The sequence below is a fragment of the Homo sapiens genome, chromosome 10 (genome assembly GCF_000001405.40).
Source record: "Homo sapiens chromosome 10, GRCh38.p14 Primary Assembly".
NCBI classification, from domain to species: Eukaryota; Metazoa; Chordata; class Mammalia; order Primates; family Hominidae; genus Homo; species Homo sapiens.
In genome coordinates this window covers 70,648,356-70,662,098 of record NC_000010.11, presented here as the reverse complement: position 1 = coordinate 70,662,098, position 13,743 = coordinate 70,648,356, and the positions used below count along the sequence as shown (strand labels likewise).

Below are 13,743 nucleotides of genomic sequence, written 5' to 3'. Positions count from 1 at the left end.
GCCAATGCTAGGGGTGGCCAAGCCTTCCTCAGCAGGCTTTACCCATTCAGGGTCCCCTCATCCTCCAGGATACGCCCTGTGCCACCTTCCAGCTCATGTTTAACATGTAACAAGTAGAGGTGATGTACCCACCAACTTGTTAAAAGCTCTATGATGGACACACGGGGTGCAGAGGTGAGCCTAGCAGGCCAATCCCTGTGCCGGAGCTCACTAAACAGTGAAAGTCACAGAGGAGGGGTCAGGCAATCCCTGGGGGAGGGAGGACTGACATGCTGGGCCCGGGGCAGGCACGGTGCTGGAGGGCGGTAGCCACAGCCATGTTGGAGCTGTCATAAAGTGCTTCCTGGAGGAAGTGCCATTTCAGCCAAAGCCTGAAGGATAATCAGGAGTTGGCAAGGGGAAGAGGAGGACAGAACGTCCCAGGAGGAGACAGCCACTTGCCTGGTGGAAGGAACAAAACAGGAGCCAGAGCGTGAGGGGCTGGTGGGGAGATGTGGGCAGGGATCCAATCTCACAAGCCTCCAAAGACCCTGTGCGGGAGTCTGGCCTATCCGGAGGGCTCTCAGTAGCCACTGGAGGATTCTATGAGGAGGAGCAGCTTTGGGACTTAAAAAGCTACAGATGTAAAACCTGCATTCAAATTTCTCACTCACATCGAGGTGTTACAGTCAACCATAGTCGTGTACTGGGGTAGAGACAACAGGGTAAACTGTTAAGATGCAGTGGGAGGGTGTTTATCATACTATGCTCTGCCTTCTTTAAATATTTCTCATATATATTAAATGCATGTCTTTATATTTTATATTTATATTTTAAATATGTAATTTCTATTTTAATATTTAATTTATATAGTTTATACTATAAAGCATTATATTATACAATGTATTATTTATGGTGTATTTAATATATCATATCATAGACTATTCTATATACAGCAGTCCCAACTTATCCATGGTTTTGCTTTCTGAGGTTTCAGTTACCCATGGTCAACCACAGTCCAATAATATTACATAGAAAATTTCAGAAATAAGCAATTCATGTTTTCAGTTGCATGCTGTTCAGCGTAGTGTGACAAAATCTCGCACTGTCCTAATCCATCCTGCCTGGGATATGAATGATCCCTTTGTCCAGCGTGCCCATGCTGTCTTCACTACCCACCCATTAGTCAGTCAGTAGCCATCTGAGTTATCAGATCAGCCAGGCAATCTTGCTTGTGTTCAAGTAACTCTTACTTTACATAGCAGTGGCCCCAAGACGCAAGAGTAGTGATACTGACAATGCAGCTGTGCCTAAGAGAAGCTGTATCATGCTTCTTTTAACTGAAAAGGTGAAAGTTTTCAACTTAATTAGGAAAGAAAAAAAAATTGTACAATGAGATTACGAAGATCTTCTGTGAAATTGTGAAGAAGGAAAAAGAAGTTCATGCTAGTTTTGCTGTCACACCTGAAACTGCAAAAGTGACAGCCACAGTACATAATAAATGCTTAGTTAAGATTGAAAAGGCGGCTGGGCGTGGTGGCTCACACCTGTAACCCCAGCACTTTGGGAGGCCAAGGTGGGCAGATCATGAGGTCAGGAGTTCGAGATCAGCCTGGCCAACATGGTGAAACCCCGTCTCTACTAAAAATATAAAAAATTAGTGGGGCATGGTGGCACACACATATACTCCCAGCTACTAGGGAGGTTGAGGCAGGAGAATCACTTGAACCCGGGAGGTGTAGGTTGCAGTGAGCCAAGATCATGCCACTGCACCCCAGCCTGGGAGATAGAGCAAGACTCTGTCTCAAAAAAAAAAAAAAAAAAAAGACAAAAAAAAAACCCCGAGGGCAGTGAAGGCATACAGGCATGCCTTGGGGATGTTGCGGGTTTGGTTCTGGACCACCACAATAAAGCAAATATTGCAATAAAGTGAGTCACACAATTTTTTTGGCTGCCCAGTGCACATAAAAGGTATATTTATGCTATTATGTGTACAATAGCATTATATCTAAAAAACAATGTACATGCCTTAATTTAAAAATACTTTATTGCTAAAAAATGCTAACAATCATCTGAGCCTTCAGCAAGTCATAATCTTTTTGCTGTGGAGGGTCTTGCCTCCATGTTGATGGCTGCTGACTGATCAGGGTGGTGGTTGCTGAAGGCTGGGGTGGCTGTGGCAATTTCTTGAAATAAAACAACCATGAAATTGGCCATATCGATTAACTCTTCCTTTCACAAAAGACATCTCTGTAGCACACAATGCTGTTTGATAGCATTTTACCCATAGTAGAACTTATTTTAGGATTGGAATCAATCCTCTTAAACCCTGCCACTGCTTTATCAACTAAGTTTATGGAATATTCTAAATCCTTTGTTGTAATTTCAACAATATTCACAGCATCTTCACCAGGAGTAGGTTTCATCTTAAGAAACCACTTTCTTTGCTCATCCATAAAGAAGCAACCCCTCAACCATTCAAGTTTGATCATGAGATGGCAGCAATTCGGTCCCATCTTCAGGCTCTTCTTCCAATTCTAGTTCTCTTGCTTATTTCTACCACATCTGCAGTTACTTCCTCCACTGAAATGTTGAATCCCTCAGAGTCATTCATGAGGGTTGCAATCAACTTCTTACAAACTCCAGACTTCCAGACTTGAGCAAGATTATGACTTGCTGAAGGCTCAGATGATCATTAGCATTTTTTAGCAGTAAAGTATTTTTAAATTAAGGTCCATACATTGTTTTTTAGACATAATGCTATTGTACATGTAATAGCATAAATATAACTTTTATATGCACTGGGCAGCCAAAAAAAATCCTGTTAATGTTGACATTTTTATCTCCTTCCATGAGTCATGAATGTTCTTAATGACATCTCTAATGGTGAATCCTTCCCAGAAGGTTTTCAACTTACTTTGTCCAGGTCAGTCAGACGGATCACTATCTATGGCAGCTATCACTTTATGAAATGTATTTCTTAAGTAATAAGACTTGAAAGTCAAAATTACTTGATCCGTGGGTGCAGAACAGATGATGTGTTAATAGGTATGAAAACAACATTCATCTCCTTGTACATCTCCATCACAACTCTTGGTAACCAGGTGCATTGTTAGTGAACAGTAGTATTTTCAAATGAATCTTTTTTTCTCAGCAGTAGGTCTCAACAGTGGGCTTAAAACATTCAGTAAACTATGCTCTAAACAGATATGCTGTCATCCAAGCTTTGTTGTTCCACTTCTAGAGCACAGACAGAGTGGATTTATCATAATTCTTAAGGGCCCTAGGATTTTCAGAATGGCCATTGAGCATTGGCTTAAACTTAAAGTCACCAGCTACATTAGCCCCTAACAAGAGAGCCAGCCTGTCCTTTCAAGCTTTGAGGCCAGGCATTGACTTCTCCTCTCTAGCTATGGAAGTCCTAGATGGCATCTTTTTCCCATATAAGGCTGCTTTGTCTCCAGTGAAAATCTGTTGTTCAGTGTAGCCACCTTCATTGATGGTCTTAGCTAGATCTTCTGGATAACTTGCTGCAGCTTCTACATCAGCACTTGCTGCTTATACTTTTACATCAAAGAGATAGCTTATTTCCTTAAACCTCAGAAACTGACCTCTGCTAGCTTCCAACTTTTTTTTCTTTTTCTTTTTCTTGTGTGTGTGTGTGTGTGTCAGGGTCTCACTCTGTCACTCAGGTTGGAGTGGAGTGGTGTAATCATGGCTCACTGCAACCTCCACCTCCCGGTCTCAAGAGATTCTCCCACCTCAGCCTCCCAAGTAACAGAGACCACAGGCATGCACCACCACACCCAGTTAATTTTTTTTTTTTTTTTTTTTGTAGCAACAGGTTTTCTCCATGTTGCCCAGGCTGATCTCAAAACTCCTGGACTTAAGTGATCCACCTGCCTCGGCCTCCCAAAGTTCTAGGATTACAGGTGTGAGCCACCATACCCAGCCCCAACTTCTTTTCTGTAGCTTCCTCACCTCTCTCTGCCTTTATAGAACTGGAGAGAGTTAGGGTCATGCTCTGGATTAGGCTTTGCCTTAAGGGAATGTTATGGTTAGTTTGATCTTCTATTCAGACTACTCAAACTTTCTCCATATCAGCAATAAAGCTGCTTCACTTTCTTATCATTCCTGTGTTCACTGAAGTAGCACTTTTAATTTCCTTCAAGAACTTTTCCTTTGCATTTGTAACTGTTTGGTACAAGAGGCCTCATTTTCAGCCTTTTTCTGCTTTCCATATGCCTTCCTCACTAAGCTTCATCATGTCCAGCTTCTTATTTGAAGCAAGATATGCCACCCTTCCTTTCACTTGAACGCTTAAGGCAGCATTGTAGGGTTATTACTTGGCCTAATTCCAATATTGTTGTGTCTTGGAGAATAGGGAGGCCAAAAGAGAGGGAGAGATGAAGGAATGGCCAGTTGGTGGAGCAGTCAGAACACACACAACATTTATTGATTAAATTTGCTGTCTTAGGGGCACGGTTTGTGGCACCCCAAAATAATTACAATAGTAACATCAAAGATCAATAATTACAGATTACCATAACAGATATAATAATAATGAAAAAGTCTGAAATATTGCCAGAATTACCAAAATGTGACACAGAGACATGAAGTGAGCACATGCTGTTGGAAAAATGGCACCAATAGACTTGCTCAAAGCAGGATTGCCACAAACCTTTACTTTGTTTTTTAAAAATGGAGTATCTGCCAAGCATAATAAAGCAAAGCATAATAAAATAGATATGATTGTATACTATTGGCATTTCTGCCTTTTTCTTAGTCCCATAAACTGAAAGCCCGGAATGACCGAGAAGGCCTTATTCGCTGCACCCACTGAAAGGGCAGCCAGGTCGGAGGTGAAGTGACATTTGCTTATTTTCAGGATGACTTGCTCCCTTTCAAACTGGGAGACACAGAGGTACTCATGCTCTGCCTGAGAAATTATTGCCTTCCAAGCCCAGCTGCTCAGAGCCTTCACAAGCCCAGCTTCAAGTCATCCTAAGTTGGAAGTTGTCATCCATGTGTTCCTTTAGAACAGGGAGTTGCCTTTACTTCCCGCCCCCACCCCCCGACCACATCTGGCCATGGAGGAGGGCACAGACCCTTACTGAGCACCCACTATATATCTGGACCCATGGAAAGCACAGCCAGCCCCTCTAATTCTGCTCTCCATTTGCAAACTTTGAACTAAATTCAGATGACTTAAATGTATACCTGCTTGTGATCCATCAAGTGGTAAAGATGGTATTGTGTATGATGTGTAGCATTTCCCCAGCAGAAGAAAATACCAGCTGTGGCTGGGAGGTAGGAGGCCAGGTTCCCATCAAAACTCTGTGGTTAACTGGCTGAGTAGCTCTAGGCAGTGCCTTCCGCTCTCTGCATCCCAGCCTCATCTGAACTATGAGTGGGTGGATGAGATCACTTCTGCAAAGCCTCTGAGCCCTGCTGGTCCATGACTCAGCCCCCAGGCCTTTGCACAGGCTGTTTCCTCAGCCTAGGATGCCTTTTCCCCATGCATCCGCCTGGCAAGCTGAGTCTTCCTTTGAATCCTTTTTCAGTAGCCACTTCCTCCGTGAAGCACTCCCAGACACAGAACCATCCTGCTCTCCCACCAGAACATCATTCAGTACTCTCTCTTCTGTTCCACATCTGTACCTTGGACATAAGTCAACTGTGCTGAAAGGCACAGTAGGCTTCCTGTGCTGAAATTATTCACAGGCTTAATAACTGCAAAATAAAACCTTCAATTCAGCTTTACCTACTGTCTAGCATAGAGCCTGGGACAAAGTAGAGGCCCTATAAAGCCTTCATGAATCAACGAACACATGCATGAACTCTTTATGATTTCTTAACCCTATTCCAGTGTTAGGAGATTGCCATTATGGTCAAGAGAAAGACACACGCTTCTTGCTGAAGCATTTCTTATATGTTTCTCAAGGGCAGGTGCCATTCCTCACTCATCTTTTGTCTCACCAGGGATAGGCACTGAGTAGGTGCTCAGTAAATATGTGTCACATTGAACAATGTTGACATATGACCCCAGCCCCAGCCCTCCACACTGGGAGAGCAGTCTCTCCAGGGGGCTAAATAATTTCTCTAAGAATTTGAACTCATCATCACAAAGGGTGTGTAAATTAGGGATTAGATTTGGAAAGAAAATATCTACATTGGCACTAGTGCAGGGACCTGCAGGCCAAGCTATGGGTGACATGGTGGCATTTGCAAAGAAAACCCCACCAGCTCCAATAGTGTGCTCAGGAGTGTTACGGTGGGTAGCTAGTGAGACATGAACAGGGCAGAAGAGGGCCCCTACACCCCACCAGGAAAATCAGGCGATCATTAGGTGATGGTTAGGCAGTTGTCACACTGCCTCTCTAAAATAGTAATAGGTCTCAACCAGCACCAGGAAAAGGCATTCTGCCTGTAGATAGAAAACACCTAAAACTGGTGATCATCAGTTTCCTATAAGATCTCAGGAGCTGGGCGAGTGGGCTCAAGCACGTGCATTAAGACACGAAATGGCGGAGTTGACCTTCCAGGAGCATTCCACCAGTAAAAGGGAAGAACTCCTCGGGTGAGCATGTGTACAACTCCAGTAAACACACTGCACATGCTACCCCCCAAAGGGCTAGCAGGCCACCGTGCACGCGGGCAGCTCACCCCAAGGGAAGAATCAAGCGAGAAGGCCGGGCATGGTGGCTCATGCCTGTAATCCTAGTACTTTGGGAGGCCGAAGTGGGCAAATCACCTGAGGTCGGGAGTTCAAGACCAGCCTGACCAACATGGAGAAACTCTATCTCTACTAAAAATACAAAATTAGCCAGGCATGGAGCACGCCTGTAATCTCAGCTACTCAGGAGGCTGAGGCAGGAGAATCACTTGAACCTGGGAGGTGGAGGTTGTGGTGAGCTGAGATTGCACCATTGCACTCCAGCCTGGGCAACAAGAGCAAAACTCTATCTAAAAAAAAAAAAAAAAAAAGAATCAAGTGAGAAGGGACGCAAGACCCCAGAAGCATGCCAACGTATAAAACCCCAAGTCAAAAGGTCAAGTCCTGCACTTGTTCTTCAAGTTACCTGCTTGGGCCTCTTCGAAGTGTATTTTCCTTGCTTTCATTCCTGCTCTAAAGCTTTGGGGGTTTTGTTGTTGTTGTTGTTGTTGTTGTTGTTGTTGTTGTTGTTAGAAAGAGTCTCGCTCTGAAGCCCAGGCTGGAGTGCAGAGGCACGATCTCACCCCACTGCAGAGTTTCAAGTGATTCTCCTGCCTCAGCCTCCTGAGTAGCTGGGATTACAGGCGCCCGCCACCACGCCCAGCTAATTTTTGTATTTTTAGTAGAGATGGGGTTTCACCATGTTGGCCAGGCTGGTCTCGAACTCCTGACCTCAAGTGATCCGCCTGCCTCGGCCTCCCAAAGTGCTGGGATTACAGGCATGAGCCACCACGCCCAGCCTCTAAAGCTTTTTAATAAACTTTCACTCCTGCTTCAAAACTTGCCTTGGTCTCTCCTTCTGACTTATGCCCCTCAGTCAAATTCTTTCTTCTGAGGAGGCAAGAACTGAGGTTGCTGCACACCTGTATGGATGTGCCACCACAAGCAAGAGAACCATTACTACCATGGTTTATGGTCCAGGCTTAAGTAAAAAGGTTCCCAGGGAGACAACATCTCCTACCAACACAACAACAGTAATATTGATATGTTCGTGGAGTAAAGTGTGGGTCTTGCAGGCTGCTGTTAAAAGGCTGTGCTTGTCCGGGCATGGTGGCTCACACCTATAATCCCAGCACTTTGGGAGACCGAGGTGGGCAGATCACTTAAGGTCAGGAGTTTGAGAGCAGCCTGGACAACATGGCGGAACCCCGTCTCTACTAGAAATACAAAAATTAGCTGGGTGTGGTGGTGAATGCCTGTAATCCCAGTTGCTTGAGAGGCTGAGGCATGCGAATCGCTTGGACCCAAAAGGCGAGAGTTGCAGTGAGCTGAGATCATGCCACTGCACTCCAGCCTGGGTGATAGGGCAAGACTCCATCTCAAAAAAAAAAACGGGGGCTTCTGCTAAGAGCTCCACCCGGGACAGCTGGATATGCCAAGTGTCACCCAGCCAGGGATAACTTTTCCTCCTTCCTTCTCTTAGGACTCAAGGTCAGATTAAAATGGATTCTACTGTGTTTTTTTCATGTAACCCTCATGGGGTAGGTATTGTTTTCATTTCACAGACAAGGCAAACTGAGGTCCAGAGAAGTTAAATAACCAGCCCAAAGCCACACAGCTAGTAAGTGGCAGAGTTGGGATGTGGAGGTAGCTCTTCAGACTCCAAAATCCACTCCCCATTCCTCACACTCCTTTAGTGTCTGCAAACTCTCAGCATATCATTTCTCGCCAAATCATTCACCTCATGACAGTTCCTCATAGTGCAGGGCCTGCCACAGTGCCTAGAGCTGGGCTGTACCACAGCCATAACTCAGGATAGACAGTGAGCCACTGATTAAGTTCTGCGCTCAAGGCAGAAATCTCTCCTGCAGCCTGGACTAAGGAGGTGAGAAAGGAGATCAGCCTCCAGGGTTGAACCTTGGGAACTGAGTGCGGCCTGATACACATCACCTCACCCAACAGCTGATGACGACTCCCCAAGTGGCCACGTTAGTCACCGGCCCACCACATGCACTGCGGTTCTTTTTATAACTCCGAGCAGCTGAGCCCAGCGGGGCTGTACAGCCGCTCCACGTTTAAGGCTCCACAGGCCTGCAGGATATGATTTTTGGCAAGGACTCCAGATCAATTAGCCAAGTCAGCACTGGGAAGCTGGGAGCTTGTGGGGTGGGAACCAGGTCAGGAATTCTCCCAGGGCCCCTGACTCAGTCAGCAGATGGCTACCTCAGGCCAGTGGAGCAGAGCAGAGGCCTTGGGTGGAGGGCTACAGAGAGCCATTGAAAGACAAGGTCATGGAGACAGCAAAGCACCCAGAGAAGTAAAGTACAGTGTGCAGGCCTAAATCCGGAATGAGCTAAAAAAGGACTCTAGATTGCACGTTATGAGATGTGAAACTAGGGCCCCTGAGCTATGTGCTTCCCAGAGTCCTCTCCAACCATCCAAGACGAAGCTTCCTCCTACTCGGAAGTGACTGACCACTGAATTTTCAAAATAGGTGCACACACCACCCCAGCCCCCGTGCCTAGAGAGCAGCTGAGAGGAGGAGATCTCTGTCTCTGGAGGCTGCCACACCCCATGACCTAAGATTCTTACTAAGATGGGGTGGGTGGGGAGGGAGGTAGAGTCAGAAATTCAATCCCGGTGAGTAGCTTTTGTAATGAAAGGTGCACCATTGTCAATGTCCAGAAAGCCAAACACAAGACACAGATTAGGTTTATCAGTCTGAAGAAATGTCAGTAGTGGAAGTTCAGGTAGTCCATCTGCTGGGAGGGCAATGCCCCCATGCTTTGGGTTTTAGCAGCCCTGTGGCCAGCTAGGCTCAGTTTGGACCCACCTGGAGCTCTCTATCAGCTTTGGGGACTCCTTGGCCCTTCCTCCTCCTACCTGCAGGAGGCAAAAATAATAATAATAATAATAATAATAATAAAAAACAAGAAAAGTGTTGTTGAGGTAAAGTGAGAGCCTCATTAATAAGAACAGTGGGGGACCCTTACTCCACAACCCTCACCCACCACTTGGGGAGAGCATTTGTTACCAGATCCAAGGGGTCTTCCAGAAAGCCATGTCTCCATCAGCACCCATCCTTGTTGTCAAAACTGTAAAGAGCTATGAAGTGTGAGAGATGTTGCTCTACTTTTAAGCTAATCCAGTTTCCTGGAAGAAGACACAAAAGTCCTGGGTCAGAGACTAAGGACACTGTTGCTCAGGGGACAGCAGGCAGCAAGATCTTCATGTTACCCTCACACTCCCGGTCCCACAGGGCCAATGTGGAGGCAGGCCCATGTGGATGCTACCACAGTTTTGTGTCACAGCTGAGGGACACAGCAGAAGAAACCTCCAAACTTAAAAGGGGGCTGCGGCCAAACATGCCTGTTAGGTTCTAGCCCAAACTGAGGTCTGAGGGGAGTCAGTGACTGGGTGGCAGGTAGCTGGGAAAACACTCAAGGAATCATAGGCAGTTTCAACATGGCTTTATTCTCTCTCTGGGCGTGAGCCATATGTACAGCATCAGCAGGGTAATTATACCTTTTACAGACAATAGTGGCTCCAAGCCAAGCACAAGCTCAGGTGAGTGGTCCCCTAATGCGCCTCACATGGCATGGTTACATAATGTGTATAGTTATGCGCCTGCGCTCCAAACCCACTGAGTCATGCTGTGCCAGAAGGCCACCTCGGCCTACTCCTGACTAAAGCACAGCCATTTCCCTTACACTCCACCTCCTAGACCAAGGGCATCTTCCAGGTGGGGATACATGCCCATAGGGCAGATTTCTGAATCCACAACCCACAACAACAATACAGAGAGCAACAGCTCACTACTAGGATCCCAGCTATGCTACTTATGACTATTAGGGCCCAGCATAGGCCAGAGCCCAAGGATGCCCACCATCTCTGCTGGGAGTTGTCAGTAAGGCTCTCAACTGCCTTAATCTCCTGTGAGACCCCTTAAAGGGTGCTGTTTTGCTCTGCCAAGTGTTGTAAGGAATAAAGGTATAACATTGTGTTCCTAAAAGAGCACAGGTGACTCATTGGGCATCAGTTACTATGTCTAAGGCCATTTGGTTTTGCAACGATACCTTTCTGATCTGATCAACTTCATCCGTTAACAGGAGGAGGGCCACTCAGATGTAATTCAGAGCCTGAGCAGTGTGCTCTGCAAGAGCAGTAACTTGTGCTTCTACAGTTATGATACCCACTTGAGGGATAGTCACTGCCAGGGGATAGAACCACCAAGGGGTTCACTGTACTTGCAGAACCCGAGAGCATAGAGCCTCCTGGTTATGTGGGTATCTGGGCAATGTGGAGAGAACAGTGGCAGGTACATAAGGCCAAGTCCACTACATAGTGATACTGTCCCAGTTCCATCATCAAACAGTCCATCAAATTCATGATGATACAGATGCATGCAAAGGGGGTATTACTTTATTCAGTTCCCAATAGTCCACCGTTATCTCCCAAGTTCCATCAGTCTTTCTAACTGGCCACACCAGATAATTGTAGGGGCTGTGGTTGCCATGCATTATCTGCACCTGCTCCAGCTTTTTAATTGTCTCTGTTATCTCCATCTACCCACCCAGCAAACAGTAGTAATGGGTGGAAGTAACCCATCGGGGTTGTGGCAGGACCTGAGGCTGTTGATGCATATGTCCACATGGCACCGGCTTCACCACATGCACTCAGAGTCTGAATTCCCCAGCCATGGTTTGTAATGCCAGGTCATGTAAAATGTCCACCCCCAGAATGTATTCTAGCATGGGAGAGACATACACAGTATATAAACGGGGAGCCAAACGGCCGATGCCAAGGTGTAGAGATATCAGTTTCACTTTCACTGACCAGCCTCCATAATCATCAGTGTATGCAGTTTTGTCCAGAAACTTACCCAGGTTCCCGTAAACAAGGCTACTGTCTGCTCCAGTATCTACCAGTGCCAGTACCCACTGTACATTGGTGGGGGACCAGTGGATTGCCAATTTTACATGTGGCCTCCAGTCATCCGATGTCCCCCCAAGCTGGGCACCTCAGCCAGTTCCCTAATCAAACAGAAAAGGCTCTACATTTCCACCTGGCTGCAGCAAGTAGTCTTTGATCTGGAGCACCCAGCTGGGACTGGGTCGTGCAGTAATGTCCTTCTCCCCCTCGAGCATTTTCTGGAATTGCTGCTGTAGACACAAGTGTCTCCACAAAGTTAAGGGTACTTCATTGAGCTGCTTATCAATTTTCTCTCAGTCAACCCTGGCCAAAATCAAATGTATCCACATCTATGAGCATGTCACTCATTGGGCCCCCTTTTGTCCCATGGGTGAGCCCTTTATGGGAAAGGCACCTTCCCCTTCTTTACAGCATGGACCCCTCAGTCTTGCTGACAGCCTTCTGCTTCCCCACGGGCCGCCACAGCAGTGATCACTTCATGTATGTGGTGCCCTATGTATGGGGTGAGAACAGCAGCTTGGGGATGCAGAACCCAAAAGGAGATCCCTCATGTGGGAGGTGAAACATTCACCATCTGGCCCCCAAGTATTCATGTCAAACATAGCCTGCCGCATACCCATCTCAAAGATGGCTTGCACCAAATTGGCACATGACTACCATTTGCTCACAGTTTTAGGTATTTCACCAGCATTGTTCCACACAGTCTATATGGCTGCCCATAGCCACTCAGTCAGGGTGTGGTCACCTTGCCCTGTTGCTCACCACCTGCTCACTTGCAACTGCTGACTGATGGAGGGATGAGTCATGATGGAGGCCAGCTCTTCCAACTCAGAGACAGAACAAGAGATACTATCTGCTGCCTTGTCCCACAAACGAAGCATCCAGGCAGTCAGGAGTTCCCCTGGATGCTGGTGGCACTGCTTGCCTAATTTCTGCAACTCAGTTGGGGTACAGGGAATATATGAAGTGTGTTGCATTACGGTGGGGGGGTCCCTGAGCCCGCCCTTGGGGCCCCATCGGCTGTTCATGATCTATCTTCTGACAGACCATTGGGTAAGCCCACAACAGGAGTTCCTCCTCCTCAATAGCAGACCGAGTGGGGGCCTCAGACAGAAATGGTGGACCCAGGCCTGCATTCATTGCAGCCTCTAATTCTTTTTCTGATCAGTGTAGCTGGGCCTCCAGGCACCCCACCTGCACCTGGAGGTCCCCATTCACAGCAGCCTCTAACTCTTTCTGAGCTCTGTAGCTGGGCCTCCAGGTGCCCCACCTGAGCCTGGAGGTCCCTTACCTGCACTACATCCCTCAGAGACAGGGTGTGTACTTCCCATTGCACAGTCAAAAATGCCCATCCAACTCTGCCAGCAAAGGTTTGCTCCTTCTTGATGCTCTGTGCTTCCAGCTGCTTCAGCACCTTCTCCATGCTTGTAGGGGAACCCATCTACTGCCACCCAGGTTTCCACCAGAGCCCATCTAAGAAGCACAGCTGCCACCGAGTACCACAGTCTATGTTGTGGCCACAAGGCCAACCTGGAATTGGTGGGGACAGAAGGCTCAGTTACATTGGGATCCTGCTTACAGTGCCAATTGTCAGTTTCTAGACCAAACTGGGTCCGAGGGAAGTCAGAGGGCAGGTGGCAGGTAGCTGGAAAAACACTTAAGGAATTGTAGGCAATTTTGACATGGCTTTATTCTCTCTGTGGGCATGAGCCTGGGCAAGAGCTGTACATACAGCGTCATCAGGGTAATGATACCTTTTATAGACAACAGTGGCTCTGAGCCAAGCACAAGCTCACATGAGTGGTCACCTAATGCACCTTATGCAGCATGGTTACATAATGTGTGGAGTTGTGCGCTTGCACTCCAAACCCATTGAGTCATGCTGCACTGGAAGGCCACCACAGCCTACTCCTGACTAAAGTGCAGCCATTTCCCCTACACTGCCCCATCCCCACCCTGGGGGACAGCAAACAAATCTGACCTCTACCCTGGAGACAAGATCTTTATCTTCCAAGGCCATGTCCAATCTGTTTGCTGTACAAAAATCCTTGAAAAGATAGTCTGGAACAAAAGCTGTGACACGACACAAAAGATCCAAGGGAATTGTCTCCCAACAGATACTGTGGGGGGCTAATGTGAGCCTGTGAGCTGAGAGGGAAGAGGCCTCCCGTCTCCTT

At 46.9% G+C, this 13,743-nt stretch overlaps 3 annotated features.

Annotated features, from left to right (window-relative positions):
- Window positions 1,152-1,221: an enhancer, noted in NCBI's record as "active region_3511". NCBI's record gives its function as "activates an Ori minimal core promoter by ATAC-STARR-seq in GM12878 lymphoblastoid cells {active_cell/tissue: GM12878}" and the evidence as "EXISTENCE:reporter gene assay evidence [ECO:0000049][PMID:35858748]".
- Window positions 13,312-13,606: a silencer, noted in NCBI's record as "tiled region #11165; K562 Repressive DNase unmatched - State 9:DNaseU". NCBI's record gives its function as "weakly represses a minimal TATA promoter and a strong SV40 promoter by Sharpr-MPRA in K562 cells {active_cell/tissue: K562}" and the evidence as "EXISTENCE:reporter gene assay evidence [ECO:0000049][PMID:27701403]".
- Window positions 13,312-13,606: an enhancer, noted in NCBI's record as "tiled region #11165; HepG2 Activating DNase matched - State 9:DNaseU". NCBI's record gives its function as "activates a minimal TATA promoter and a strong SV40 promoter by Sharpr-MPRA in HepG2 cells {active_cell/tissue: HepG2}" and the evidence as "EXISTENCE:reporter gene assay evidence [ECO:0000049][PMID:27701403]".